General features: G+C 34.6%; 1 protein-coding gene across 1 annotated transcript in view; it reads right to left on the minus strand.

The window, feature by feature from the left end:
* The window catches only part of MRPL3 (mitochondrial ribosomal protein L3), a 40,760-nt gene that overhangs the window by 1,104 nt on the left and 25,589 nt on the right, over positions 1–14,067 (minus strand). Inside the window, exons 7-9 of the mRNA NM_007208.4 lie at positions 7,856–7,964; positions 6,381–6,458; positions 4,776–4,853 (exon numbers count right to left, since the gene is read on the minus strand). Coding sequence (NP_009139.1) covers positions 4,776–4,853; positions 6,381–6,458; positions 7,856–7,964 — 265 coding nt within the window. The remainder of the gene's footprint in view (positions 1–4,775; positions 4,854–6,380; positions 6,459–7,855; positions 7,965–14,067) is intronic.

The following is a 14,067-nucleotide window of genomic DNA, read 5'->3' on the forward strand; positions in this document are numbered from 1 at the left end:
CTACCAAAAGAGTCATTTCTCCAACAAATAAAACAAACAAGATTGTATTTCTATGTCACATGGTCAAAAAAAAAAAAAAGTCCTGTATTGACGGAAAATTTAAAGTTAATTCTTCAGCATTTTCAAATTTGGGTAAGGGCCTTTAAGTTGAGACTATTTTATATCATTCTTGATTTAGCACTGAATACTTCCATGGCCTTAGTGCATTTTTCTGCTTATAGGTGTGAGCAACAAGAACCAATCCTATCTTCATATACAACAAATGCAGCACAATGTATGTCAGAGCATACATTCTTATTGATAAGTTAAAGACAGAATAATATTTAGCAAAAACAATAACAGACCTATGGGTCTTTATAAGAGCTCTGTTAACTCTATATATTCTCAAAAATTCTAATTATATCTGTGAATTCACAGACTGAAGAATTTTAATATAGGTACTGATGTGATCTAAAATGTTGAGTTTTATTTTTGGAAAACATTATTGGATTCTTCAGAACTTCTGACTCATTCTACAGCCTTCATTCATAAGTAAAGTTTTTAAAAAAATTACATGTAATTATATACACGAGTAAAATGAGGCATAATTACTTTAGCAATAAGAAATGAATAATTTGGTTGAAATAAAGTACACAGCTGCTAGGAACAGCTTAGTACAGAAAAACAGATCTACTTTAATCCCTCTTATTAAAATTGTTTCAAGAAATTATCAGTAAATTACCCAGAAGAAAGTAAACTTGTTTAGTTTTGTCCCCCCAATCCATTAATCTTAGGTTGAACTTTAAGAAGGGAAAAAGTCATATTCTTACCAATTTAAACTTGCTCAGTATTTAGGATTGAAAATAAAACCCAAGCAAAAAAAACAATAAAACCAATCACAACAAAACTTTCTGTGCTAATTTGAGAAATAAAAATTTAGTCATCAATGACCCAAAGAGATAACTCTCAGTTGCTTTCACACTTTTATAGAACTATTATACCTGAGAAATATTTTAGACGACGGAATCACTGTTTGTAAAATCTAAGTATTATAATTCATGGATCTGAAACGTAAATGACATCTCAACCATTTTTGTCTTAGTGGTGCAAAAGTTGAGGGCCAAAGGTCTGCAGCCCATATGTATTTTTGTGTATTTAATCTTACCTCAGGTTTATTATTTCCCTGCCTGCACCAAGACTCCCTCAATTATCTACCTCATTCTTTTTATGTCTATCAGCAAACCAGTCTAAATCTTTTAAGAAAATGTGGGGGAAGGACAGACAAAAGCCAGGCAAATCTGAAAATAAATGATATATAGGACACAGGAATGAACACGAATGAACCGTACTTTAGAACATACATTTATACTTATTATGCTGTAAACAATAGTTCTTTAGTCTTCATTAATACATTTAGTGAATCCAAACAGCAAAACAAAAAGCTAATGCCAATTAAATAGGTTGGTCATCTCTAAGACTATCTTTACTAACTTTGGAATCTTAAAAAAAAGTTATTGGTAACCCTGTACTCTGAGGAAACAAAAGCTCCCAAGAAGTGAGTGGATGTTAACAAAGTTGGCTGCCCACTAGGAAGTGGCTCAAAACCCATAGGCAAGGAAGGACTAATTTACCTGCTACGGAGTCACTGGAAGAACGTAAATAATGGAGTGAAAGGACATAGCAAGTTTTACCATTTAAAACACAAACCTATAAAATGTTCCCCAAATTCATACCTTAATTAATGCCTGGGCAGATACTTTAAGGTTACAAAAGAAAGTTATTTAAGCACCATATTTCAAAGATTTTTTTAAAGGACGTGTTTATTATACAAATATACTTGCTGGAAATATATTCACTAGTGTGTTAATAGTTCAAAAGGGACTAGACATTGTTCTGATGCCAGTTTCTCAAAATGTATTTAGACTCCCGTTTCAGAACTCTTTGGTGTATCTTCTGAGTATCTTCAGTGATGGCAAACTATTATCGATTGAGAGTGAATAGAGTTTTTGGAAGTAATCTTTTACTGAAGTAGGCGATAAATCTGAGTAATAAATGTTACTGGTTATCAACTATTTATACAACTACATCAGAATGTCATTGTATGTACTACAGTTTTTCAAGATAATTGACCATTCATCTCTGCTGGTAACAGGGATATTGTAGAAGTACTTGAGAAGATGTTGTAGTAGTACTTGAGAAGTCACAGCAATTAATGGTAAGGTTCAGCTAGAAAACCAGCCTAGAATCATGTATGTAGAAAAATAGGCAGAAAAGGAGGATTTGACATTTAAAAATTAATCTGGTGTCCAGTATACTTTTATTATAAAAAATAATCCTTCTCCTTTATCAGGTTGTGCTATTTATAACCTGTGATCTGAAATGTGGGGCTAGGGATATGAAGATATGTCTTCACATGAATTATGAAGACAAAATACCACGGGAAGTACAATGACAATACTCTGGCTTCAACTATCTGTCATTGTAAGTATGACTGCCTTACTTGGGGACTAGAAACCTACTTAAACTTAAAAACCTGCAAACTTAAGGAAAAAACAAAACTTACAAAAATTCATCAAATACATTTTTCTTTTTCTCTCTTTTTTTTTTTTTTTTGTTTTTTTAAGCAAGGTCCCACTCTGTTGCCCAGGCTAGAAGGCAATAGTGTGATCACAGCTCACTGCAGCCTCCAACTCCTGAGGCCACGTGATCCTATCCTCCCACTTCAGCCTCCTGAGTAGCTGGAATTACAGATGCAAGCCACCAGGCCTGGCTTAAATGCATTTTTTTCTTTAACAAAAATGAGAATAATCCAGTCAGTAAGTGAAGTGTCTCAGAAAGGTAATTTTAAAAAGCAAAATTCTTATTCCTTGCAAGATTTCAAAAAATTATTCCCTATGCTAGTAATGGAACCTAGAAATGAAAAAAAATATATAAGGAAACACTGAGTTTAAAAAATCAGAGGATTAAGTTTCACTATTTCTTTGCTGCTATCATTGGAAAATCAATGAAGAGTATACTCTGGAGAACAGCTGACATAACTTCTAATACAAACTTATTTTCAGCATGGAAGATTCAAAACTCAGAGGTAAGAAAATTTGTATTAGGTTGGAATAAACCCCAGGCAGAATATTTATTTTCTATTTTATGGAAGTAAGTCTCTGAGAACTTAAAGAGTTTTTATTAAAATGTATCTGAGCTATCGGTACAAATTTTTTACTTTTTTCTTTTTTTTAAGAAAAACACTTAAAAGATATAATCAGAGCATGGTGTTAGTAATAATAAAAAAGCTCCCCCTCAAATGTCTACCTTTAACCACTTTTGATGATTCCAATTTTTACCTCATGTATTTCTGGTTTGTCAAAGTAACTCTTTTAAAAGCCAAAAAGCATTTTTTTTGGGGGGGGGTGGGGGCAGGGTTTACTTATAATTGACACATAATTGTACATATATATGTATGGTGTGATGTCTCAATAAATATACATTGTATAATGATAAAATCAGGATAACTAGCATATCCATTACTTTAAACATGTATCATTTCTTTTATGGTGATAACATTCAAAATCCTCTCTTCTACCTATATTGAAATATACCTTACTATTAGCTATAGTCAGTCACCCTACTATATAACAGAATACCGGAATGTATTCTTCCTAACTAACTCTGTGCTTGTAGACCACCTCCGCCAGCTCTCCTCCCCACTATTTTCCCCCAGCCTCTGGTAAAACCATTCTGTTCTCTACTTCTATGAAATCAACTTTTAGATTCTACATAAAAGTGAGATCATGCAATATTTGTCTTTCTGTGCCTAGCTTATTACACTTAACATAATGTCCTCCAGGTTTATCCATGTCACCACAAACAATAGCAATTCATTCTGTTTATGGCTGAAGATTATTCTAGCGTGTGTGTGCATTCTCTAGAATATTCTTCAGCCATACGCGCGCACACACACACACATACACACACACACACACACCCACCACATCTTCTTTATCCATTCATTTGTAGATGGGGCACTTTAAAAAGCTAACATGTTCCTTTTGGAAGGACAGAGATATACTGGTATTTTGGCAATAGTTTTCCAAATATCCTTCTCATATTCCTGAAGATCTTTCTGCTTACTGGCCTGATATGGTTTGGATTTTTGTCCCCGCCCAAATCTCATGTCAAATTGTAATCCCCAATGTTAGAAGAGGGGCCTGGTGGGAAGTGATTGGATCATGGGGGCAGACTTCCCCCTTGCTGTTCTCGTGATAGTGAGTTCTCACAAGATCTTGTTTAAAAATGTGTAGCACCTCCCCCTTCCCTCTCTTCCTCCTGCTCCAGCCATGTAAGACATGTCCATCTCTCCTTCCCCTTTTGCCATGATTGTAAGTTTCCTGAGGCCTCCCTAGCCATGCTTCCTGAACAGCCTGTGGAACCACGAGCCAATTAAACCTCTTTTATTTATAAATTACCCAATCTTAGGTATTTCTTTATAGGAGTCCATCCATTCTATTAGGATGGACTAATACACAGCCTTACCCTTTTTACAGGTTCTTGGTTTGAAAGAAATAGAATACAGGTTATCTTGTGCATTTTTTTCACTCAGGTGCTACTAAAAAGCAGAAAGATTCAGGAGAGAACATGTGGAAAAACAGCCATTTATTTATAAGCCACATATATGAGAAAAAGGAGACTTTATGGCAAATATCCACATATATAAACAATAGAAAATAAAGATAGTAATTTGTTAGCTTGCGAGTAAGAAACAAAAAAAAAAAAGGAAAAAAAAAGAAGACACTTATACTTACCTTTACTAAGCAATTTTTATGTCCAGGTACAGAGCCATTTACATAGATTATGTTGTGCTTTGTGTTTATTCTCCACACCTAAAGCATGAAATAAAACCAAAAATTTTAGGATATACTTGTATTAAAACAATGTTACTAAAAGCTGAGGATGTAAGTTGCTTGTAAAGTAATAAAAGATTATTACCAGTACTTCAGAATGTTGAATAAGAACTGAAAAACTTCAAGTCCTATGGATGACTTGTAATAGAAGACCATAGCAAATATATCTTATGGAAGTAGTAGAAAACTCTCATTTTAAATAGAGATGTGACTGAATGATCAAGACTATTTGGATATTTCAAAGGACTCTGTTGGCACCATTAACAATAACAAGTGGAAATTCAATTTTATTTTATTTTTAGTTAATACTAGCTTGCTGTAACTAGAGGCTGGAGAAGCCACAACCTCACTGATTCTAATTTCTAAAGTAAGTGGGCTGAGTAGATGGTCCTCAAAAAATCTTCATGTGGAGAAAAAACGTACATAAATGGGAGAGAATGATTGGTCAAAAAATGGTACTGAGAAAATAAAATATTTGGATAAGGAATCAAGTTTGACCCATGGCTCCTATCTAATAATGAATAAGTATTAAATATTACAAAAATTGAAATCACACACACGAAGAAAATACAGCAAATAGATGGTCTCTGATAAGTATAAATGTAATAGAAGGGGTAAAAAAAATCTTAGGTTTAATTATATAAAATTTGAAAACTTCTCCTGGTCAAAATTTATATATAAAAGGTATGCAGAATAGAGACTGGGAGGATATGCACCAAAATGTTTCCAGTGATTGTCTTTGGGTATTGTTCTTATTGGTGGCTTATTTTCTTCTTTGTACTTCCTACACTTTAAAACATACATGCAAACAAATATAAACATTAGTTGTTTAACAGAAATATAATTATACAGCATCCATTATAGTATAACTCAGTTTTACTTAGGTACATTTCTCATTGGTAGAGATTGAATTCAACTTCTCTTTTAAATATACACAGACATTTTTTATAAAAACGGATGTATATCATAATCCTTTTGTAGTGCTATTGTTTCCTCCTATTTTGATTGCCTCCCACTCTCCTCCTTACACTTACACACACACACGCACACACACACACACACATTTGATATATAATCCAAGAACCTGGTATATACCCTTCCACTCTTCTGTGATTATATGATGGCACAGCAACATACACACGTAGAGAGCTTTTGTTAAATCTTTTACTCAATAAAGAGTATTATACTGAATGCTCTGAATCTTACTTTTTTCATGCAACAATATCTTGTAAAAATCTTCCAGGTCCAAGAGTGGACTACTAATTTTGTCTCTTTAATGACTGCACTTTTCATGGCCTGAAATATACCCTATCATTACTACCACCATTACTACAACTAGAGTGTACACACACACACACACACACACACAATTCATGTATCCTCTTTTCCTCAATAATTTTAAAGCCTCTTAGAACAATGGTACAGACACAGATTAAATACATATTCTGCTGCCTTTGCATTTAGACAATTTAGCTGTTCCTAAAAAGAACCACTTGTAACACTTACTTTCAGTCCATATTCTGTCCTGTATATGTTTCCCATTTTTCCAGGCATTTTAGTTCCAGGCCAGACTCTGCCAATATCCTAAATGAGAAAACTAAAGTTAACACTTTTAAGTACTATCAATTTTAAACAGCACTGATCAAACCACAATGTAAACTAAAAATATAAATTATTAAAATGTTTTATTTTTCCCCTATTCTGCTAGGTCCCAAGTAAGGAACTAAATATGGATTTAGGCATATTTACTCCTAGAGGATTTCCTTTCTAATGAGACTAGAATGATAAAATAAATACAGACTAAGAAGCAGATTTAGGAGAAAAACTCAGCAACAACGGACCTAATACTGGCTAAGAATTAAAAAAGGACAAGGGCATACAGACACACCGACACCATCATTCAAAGAAAAAAAATGGACTGCCAGGCCTGTTTTGAACTCATCTTCTGTATTAACTGACTTAATGGACTTCATCCATACCACTGGTGCTGGAATGGTCCTACTGCTCCTTGCTTTAGATGTTACTTTCCTTGACCAAAATTATTCAAGGACAGAGTTAGTTATCAGAATACTAGTTTGTCTAGCCCTGGTTTTCTCTGATTTACATAAATCTAACAGTCTCTGATTTTGGCTCTGATAACGGGTAATAGTTCTACATCTAAAGAAGCAAATCTGAATTATGACTAAAATGGAACAGCTTCTTATAACACATGAATTCTCACAATATAAACACTTTTCCATCAGCTGCTCTCACATTAACAGGTGAAACTCTCAGTGGAAGTACCTCATCATGGCATTAGATATGTTTAATATGTAACCAACAGGCTTAAAAGACAATTCTGAGTATTACAGACTAAGTATCACTCTTATTCATTCTACAAATATATTCCGTTATATATGACTACAATGTTCCAGTAGACAGAACTAAGACACACACACACACACCCCTCTGTTTCTCTGTGTGCTACATTTTTTCCTTGTGTGCATGCATGCATTCCCCTCCCCCACCAAACAGTATATGCATACTTATAGTTTGAATTCAACACTATAGGGTTCATTTTAATTTTCCCATTTTCATACTTTAACGCCCTTTTCCAACAGTGAGAAACCTAGCTCCATTATCAATACATTTACTTATCTACTCAATCCTACAATTCACAGAAAATTATTTCAGAATTGTTAACTGATACTAATTCAAAAGACAAACTGAATTCAACATTTGCACAAAGTACATTTTAAATTTAGACTCAGGGTATATACAGCCAAACTACAGATGCTCAGCTAACCTTGTGGAATATAACTAATTCTAGTCTGGCTCTGGGAAATGAGTGAGGGGCAAGGATCCATAAAAGGGTGACAAGTACATGGAGTCCCCTTGTGTCAGACTAAAATTATGTGACTTCATATCAAGGACGGACTGAGGACTACATGTGCAGAAGTTGAATATTTAGCATTAAAAAGAGCTTCACTAGTTATACTCACACCAGTTGCAACAGCTCCAGGTCTCCTGTGGGTTTTCGTTTGACCATGCGTAGCAGGCTGGCCTTTAAATCCCCATCTTTTCATGACACCTTGAAAACCTTTACCAATACTGAACAAAACAAACGTTAGAATTTACATAATGAAAAGAGCATAGACCATTCCCAATTGTACACTTTCTAGTACCAACTGTACACATTCTTGTTAGAGTTTTAACAAAGCTTCTTATTTAAATAACTAGAAAAGGCTATACAACTAAAACTGCAAATAAATATTCCTTTATCTCTGTCTTGGTCTGCACCCCTTCCTGGAGTCTAATTCTATATAAAATGATTAATTCAAGATTGTGAGACACCAGCAAGCTAAGCACAGGGAATTTTATCTGAACAGGAGTTTTATCATCCTAATTCTGTGAAGATGACACAGTAAAAATGGAAAAGCTCTAGAAGTTTCAAAGTACTTATAGCAGATATGGCAAGCAGCCATTAAGATGGAACCCAAAGATCACCACCTCCTGGTACTCATGCTCCTGTTTAATTCCCTCCCCTTGAGTCTGGGTGAACCTAGTCCCTTGCTTCTAATAAATAAAATATGGCAAGAGTGATGAGATGTCACTTCTGAGATTTGGTTACAAAGAGACTGTAGCTTCCATCTTGGTACTCTCTTGCTTGCCAGGCTCTGAAGGAAGCCAACTTCCACAGCTAGTGTAAACTGTCCTATGGAGAGACATGCTGCAAGGATGTCTCCAGCTATTAACGAAGGACCTGAGGTCTGCCAATGGACTATTAGTAGGTATGGAGGCAGATTCTCCCCAATTAGAACCTTGACATGACTACAGCCCTGGCTGATGCTTGACTGCAGCTTTGGGAGAGACCCCAAGTCAGAGGCATCCAGGTAAGTTACAATGGGATTTCTGAGCACAGAAACTGAGGTAATAAATGTTTGTTATTTTAAGCTATTAAGTTTTAGGATAATGTGTTAGGCAGCAATAGGTACTAGTACAATAGAGGACTAAATAGAAAAAAATAATGCTCTAAATGCTGAACAAATTTTATCTTAGAAGATATCAGAAGGATCTTCATCTCAGGGTTGAGAAGAAACAAATGGAGAAATAAAATCAGAGAGTAACAATTTCTTACTAATCTAAAATCTCCTTTTAAAATGAAATCACTCTATTTTCAAATTCTGTTAACCCCATGATCCAGGTAGAAAGCAAACAACACTAAAGCTAAAGAATTATTAAAGTTTGTTTCTGAAATGCTCACTAAATTAGGTATAGAAAGTATGCAGCTTGAAACAACAAAGGCCATATATGACAAACATACTGATGTTATGCTTTCAGCTATTCCCCTAAGATCAGGAACAAGACAAGTATGCCCAATTTCACCACTTCCATTCAACACAGTGCTAGAAGTCTTAGAGCTATTAGGCAAGAGAAAGAAATAAAAGGTATCCAAATTGTAAAGGAAGAAGTTGTCCCATTTGCAGATGATATATCATATATAGGAAATCCTAGACTCCACCAAAAAAGTGTTAGAATAAATTCAGTAAAGTTGCAGGATATAAAATTAACATATACAAATTGGTAGTGTTTCTAAATACTAATAGTGAACTATCTGAAAAAAAAATCAAGAAAACAATTCCATTTCCAATAGCTACGAAAAAATAAATACCCAGGAATAAACTTAATAATGGAAGTGAAAGATTTCTACACTGAAAATGATAAAACATTGATGAAAGAAACTGCAGAGGATGTGGGTAAATGGAAAGCTATCTGCTGTTCATGAACTGGAAGAACTGCTAAAACGGCCATACTATACAAAGTGGTCTACAGATTTAATGCAACCTCTATCAAAATACCAATGACACTCTTCACAGAAATAGAAAAAATAATCCTAGAATTCATATGGAACCACAAAAGACACTGAATAGCCAAAGCAATCCTGAGTAAGAATAAAAAAGCTGGAGACATCATACTACTTGACTTCAAAACATACTACACAAAGCTATAGGAGCCAAAACAGCATGCTACTGGCATAAAAACAGACACACAGAACAACGGAACAGAACAGAGAGCCCAGAAATTCACACATCACGGGCAATTGATTTTTGACAAAGGTGGCAATACCACACACTGGGGAAACACAGTCTCTTCTATAAATGGTGCTGGAAAACTTGAATACCCACATGTAATGAGGTTAGACCCCTCTCTCTCACCATATGCAAAAATCAATTCAAAATGGATTAAAGACTTAATGAAAAAAAAAAAGTATGAAACTACTAGAAGAAAATGTAGGGGAAATGCTTCATAATACTGGGCTGGGCAAGTATTTTTAAATGAGACCTCAAAAGCACAGGCAACAAAAGAAAAGACACATTACATCAAACTCAAAAGCTTTTTGCACAGCAAAAGAAACAAAGCAAAGAGACAACCTACAGAATGGGAGAAAACATCTGCAAACTACATCTGACAAGAGATATCTAAAATATATACTAAAAGAACTGCAAAAAAACCTAAAATAACTGCAAAGGAACTCAAACAACTAAAAAAAAACCCCAAGTAATCCAATTAAAAAATGAGCAAAATATCTTAACACATTTCTCAAAAAGAGACAAAGAAATGGCCAAGTATATGAAAAATGTTCAAAACCACTAATTATCAGGGAAATGCAAATCAAAACCACAATGAGATACCATCTCATTCCAGTTAGAATGGCTACTGTCAAAAAGACAAAAGAAAACAAGCGTTGGTGAGAACGTGGATAAGAGAACACATACACTGTTAGTGGGGATATAAATTAGTATAGCCACTATGGAAAACAGTATGGAAGCATCCCTCAAAACATTAAAAATATGACGACCATATGATCCAGCAATCCCACTATGGGGTAGATATCCAAAGGACATGAAATCAACATGTTGAAGAGATATCTTGTATTTATTGAGCACCATTCACAATAGCCAAGATACAGAATCAACCTAAGTGTCCAATAACAGACAAAATAAAGGAAATGTGGCACATATACACATGGAATATGATTCTGTCATAAAAAATAAAATCCTGCCATCTGCAACAACATTAATGAAACTGGAGGACATTATGTTAAGTGAAATATACCAGACACAGAAAGACAAATAATGTATGATCTCACTTACATGTGGAATCTAAAAAATGTTGCTATCATAGAAGTAGAGAGTGCAACAGTGATTACCCAGAGACTGGGGAGAGGATGGGGATGGGAATGAGGAGGATGGGGAGAGGTTGGTTAATAGGTAGATAGAAGGAATAAGTTCTGGTGTTCTATGGTACACTAGGGTATCTATGGTTAACAGTAAATTATTATATATTACAAAACAGCTAGGAATGGTTTTGAATGCTCTTGCCACAAAAAAATGATAAATGCATGAAGTAACAGGTACCGTAACTACCCTAATTTGATCATTATACAATATACACACATATTAAAACATCAACTTGTACCCCATAAATACAACTGCAATGTGTCAATTAGAAATAAAATTTGTCTTTGATTATATCAGTATAAATGACACAATAAAAAGACTGGAAAAAATTCTCAGACTGTACTAGACTTTTTAATTTTTTTTTTTTTTTTTTTTTAAAGAGACAGGGTCTTACTCTGCCAACCACGCTGGAGTGCAGTGGTACAGTGATAACTCACTGCAGTCTTAAACTCCTGGGCTCAAGCAATCCTCCTGTCTCAACCTCATGAGTAGCTAGGACTACAGACTACAGGTGCATGCCACCACACTCAGCTAATTTTTAATTTTTTTTGGTAGAGAGAGGGATCTTGCTTTGTTGCTTAGGCTGGTCTCGAACTTCTAGCCTTGAGTGATCCTCCCACCTGGGCCTCCCAAAGTGTTGGGATTACAGGTGTGAGCCACCATGCCAGGCATGTGACATATTTTTACTCTTAAAATGAAGATTTTTCTCACCTTTTACTAGATAATACATCAACATATTTTTAACAGAGTGTTCCCTAACCCCACCAACGTTAGCTATTATTATATAGTGTACTGTTCAGGCCATTTACAAAGAGGACAAAAAGAAAAAGATTATAAAAACAAACTTATTTCCACAAGGACTTTGCTATGCATTCAGCAAACAATTAGCAATGGATTGAAGAAAGCCTATGTGAATAATACAGTTTGTTTTCAATACATCAAAAATCCACTCTAAAAATAAGGATAAGGCTGGGTCTGGTGGCACATGCCTGTAATCCCAGCACTTTGGGAAGTTGAGGTGGGAGGGCTGCTTGAGGTCAGGGGAGGCCAGCCTGGCCAACATAGTGAGACCTCAAACTTAAAAACAAAAATGATACATTACATGTATGACTTAACAGCTGAATACTATCAAATCATAGGTCAAAAGTCACTTTTATAAGAATAATTTAAACATAGCTTACATCACATTCTTCACATTAAGCCTGTGAACAGTGTGTATATAATTTTTTGGATGTGAAAACTCAAGATAATGTGTATACCTGATCAAAGAGCTAAAACATAACACATATTAAATAAAAACCCACTATTAATTATGTAAACTAACATCTAAGAAGAGAATAATCAAATATTTTATGCTTTAGAAATTTAACAAATGTTTCCACTTAACATTGAATTTTAGAACCTAATTGGAAAGTACAGTGCTTGGCAATTTAAAAATGAAAAGGAAATACCTAAAGAGTAATTTGAACTTACCATATCATTTGGCAAACAACACTTCAAAGAGAAAAGGAGACAGAGAGACTGGCAACACTAATCTAAATGAACATGTTACACTGGCCATTCTTGGTAGAAAGTTTACTGGTACTTCTGTGTTCTTAAAACTGATGATCTCTTACTTAAAAAGAGAGCATGAGTGCATGCACCAGTAGAACACATGCCAGGTGAACTACAGAAGATAACTTAGCTCATTTTAAGAGTAAATAATTATAAGATAAAAGTGGTATCCTGAAAGTGCTAATTATCTGTTGGCTAATTACAGATTGCTTTTCAATCTAGCTCTAGAATACATCATGTAGTTATACTCTGTACAATGAGAACCTCTTCAGTAACCTTTAAACAAAAGAACAAAACACAAATAACATGACAAATTATTGGCTGAATTCAGATTAGGGAGAACAGAGTGTACCTGTTGATCCATGGGAGGTACAGGTATTGATACTACTCTCAGTTGTCACTCAACTTGAGAACAAAAATAAAACAAAAGCAAGAAATGAACTAATCTATACTTAGTATAGCCAGACACATTTCAAGTAAAAGGTTTCCACAGGTCATATAAAATAAAATCTTCATTTTACTAAAAATAATATACAACATACTTTATATTTTATATCCCTTACCCATTTTCTGCTTAGTTTTTAATTAATGATAGCAGAAAAAAAATCAAATAGAGGAAAGCTTAAAGTGGAAAGAACATAGAGATCCCAATTTTAGTTAGATATATTTGAAAATTAAGAAGACATAAAAGATGTATTTTATTTAGAGTATCTATACTAAAATATAGAAATTCAGATGTATCATTTAATCTAGGAAACATTATTGTCCTTGCTTCTCAGTCCATTTCCCCTCAGTACACTTTCAGTGCACGAAGGGTAGAAACTGTGTATTATTTAGCTGTAGTGCCCAGTCTAGAGAAGCAGAGTAAAATTTGTTACTGGCTATAGCTGTGTCCAGGGAAGACAGGGGATTAAGTCTCCTTTCTTCTGTCCTACAGTTTCCAAGTATTGTATAATGGGCATGCCTTTTAGTTTGAAAAGATGGTTTGAAGAAAAGGGGAGAAGCTTAAAGGTATGGCTAATAATCCTGCAGAAGGGAATGCACAATTTAATGTTTCCCGCTGAATTCTATAAATCTCTAGAGATTCTTACTATGAGAATTGTATTCCCTTGCTATACTGTGACAAATGCCTACCAAGAGACACACAGGTTTTAATATAAATCCATCATGTATTTCTTTACTTTGTGAGAAACTGCCTTTCATTGCATGATTCTGGATATACTTGTCTATGGGGATAAAACGAAATGTCCATAAGGTGAAGAATGACCATATACCTGCTTTTAAACCCATCCATTCTGTGTCCTCTGAGAACTTCCTCTAAAATTCCCATCCCCTGAGTATCTCCCTTGAGAAGCCACTGGATTCTCCTACCTTCTTTTCCCTTCATATCCCTCCTCGTCTTTCACTGGAACACAAAC

This window comes from Homo sapiens, chromosome 3 (genome assembly GCF_000001405.40).
Source record: "Homo sapiens chromosome 3, GRCh38.p14 Primary Assembly".
Taxonomy (NCBI): Eukaryota; Metazoa; Chordata; class Mammalia; order Primates; family Hominidae; genus Homo; species Homo sapiens.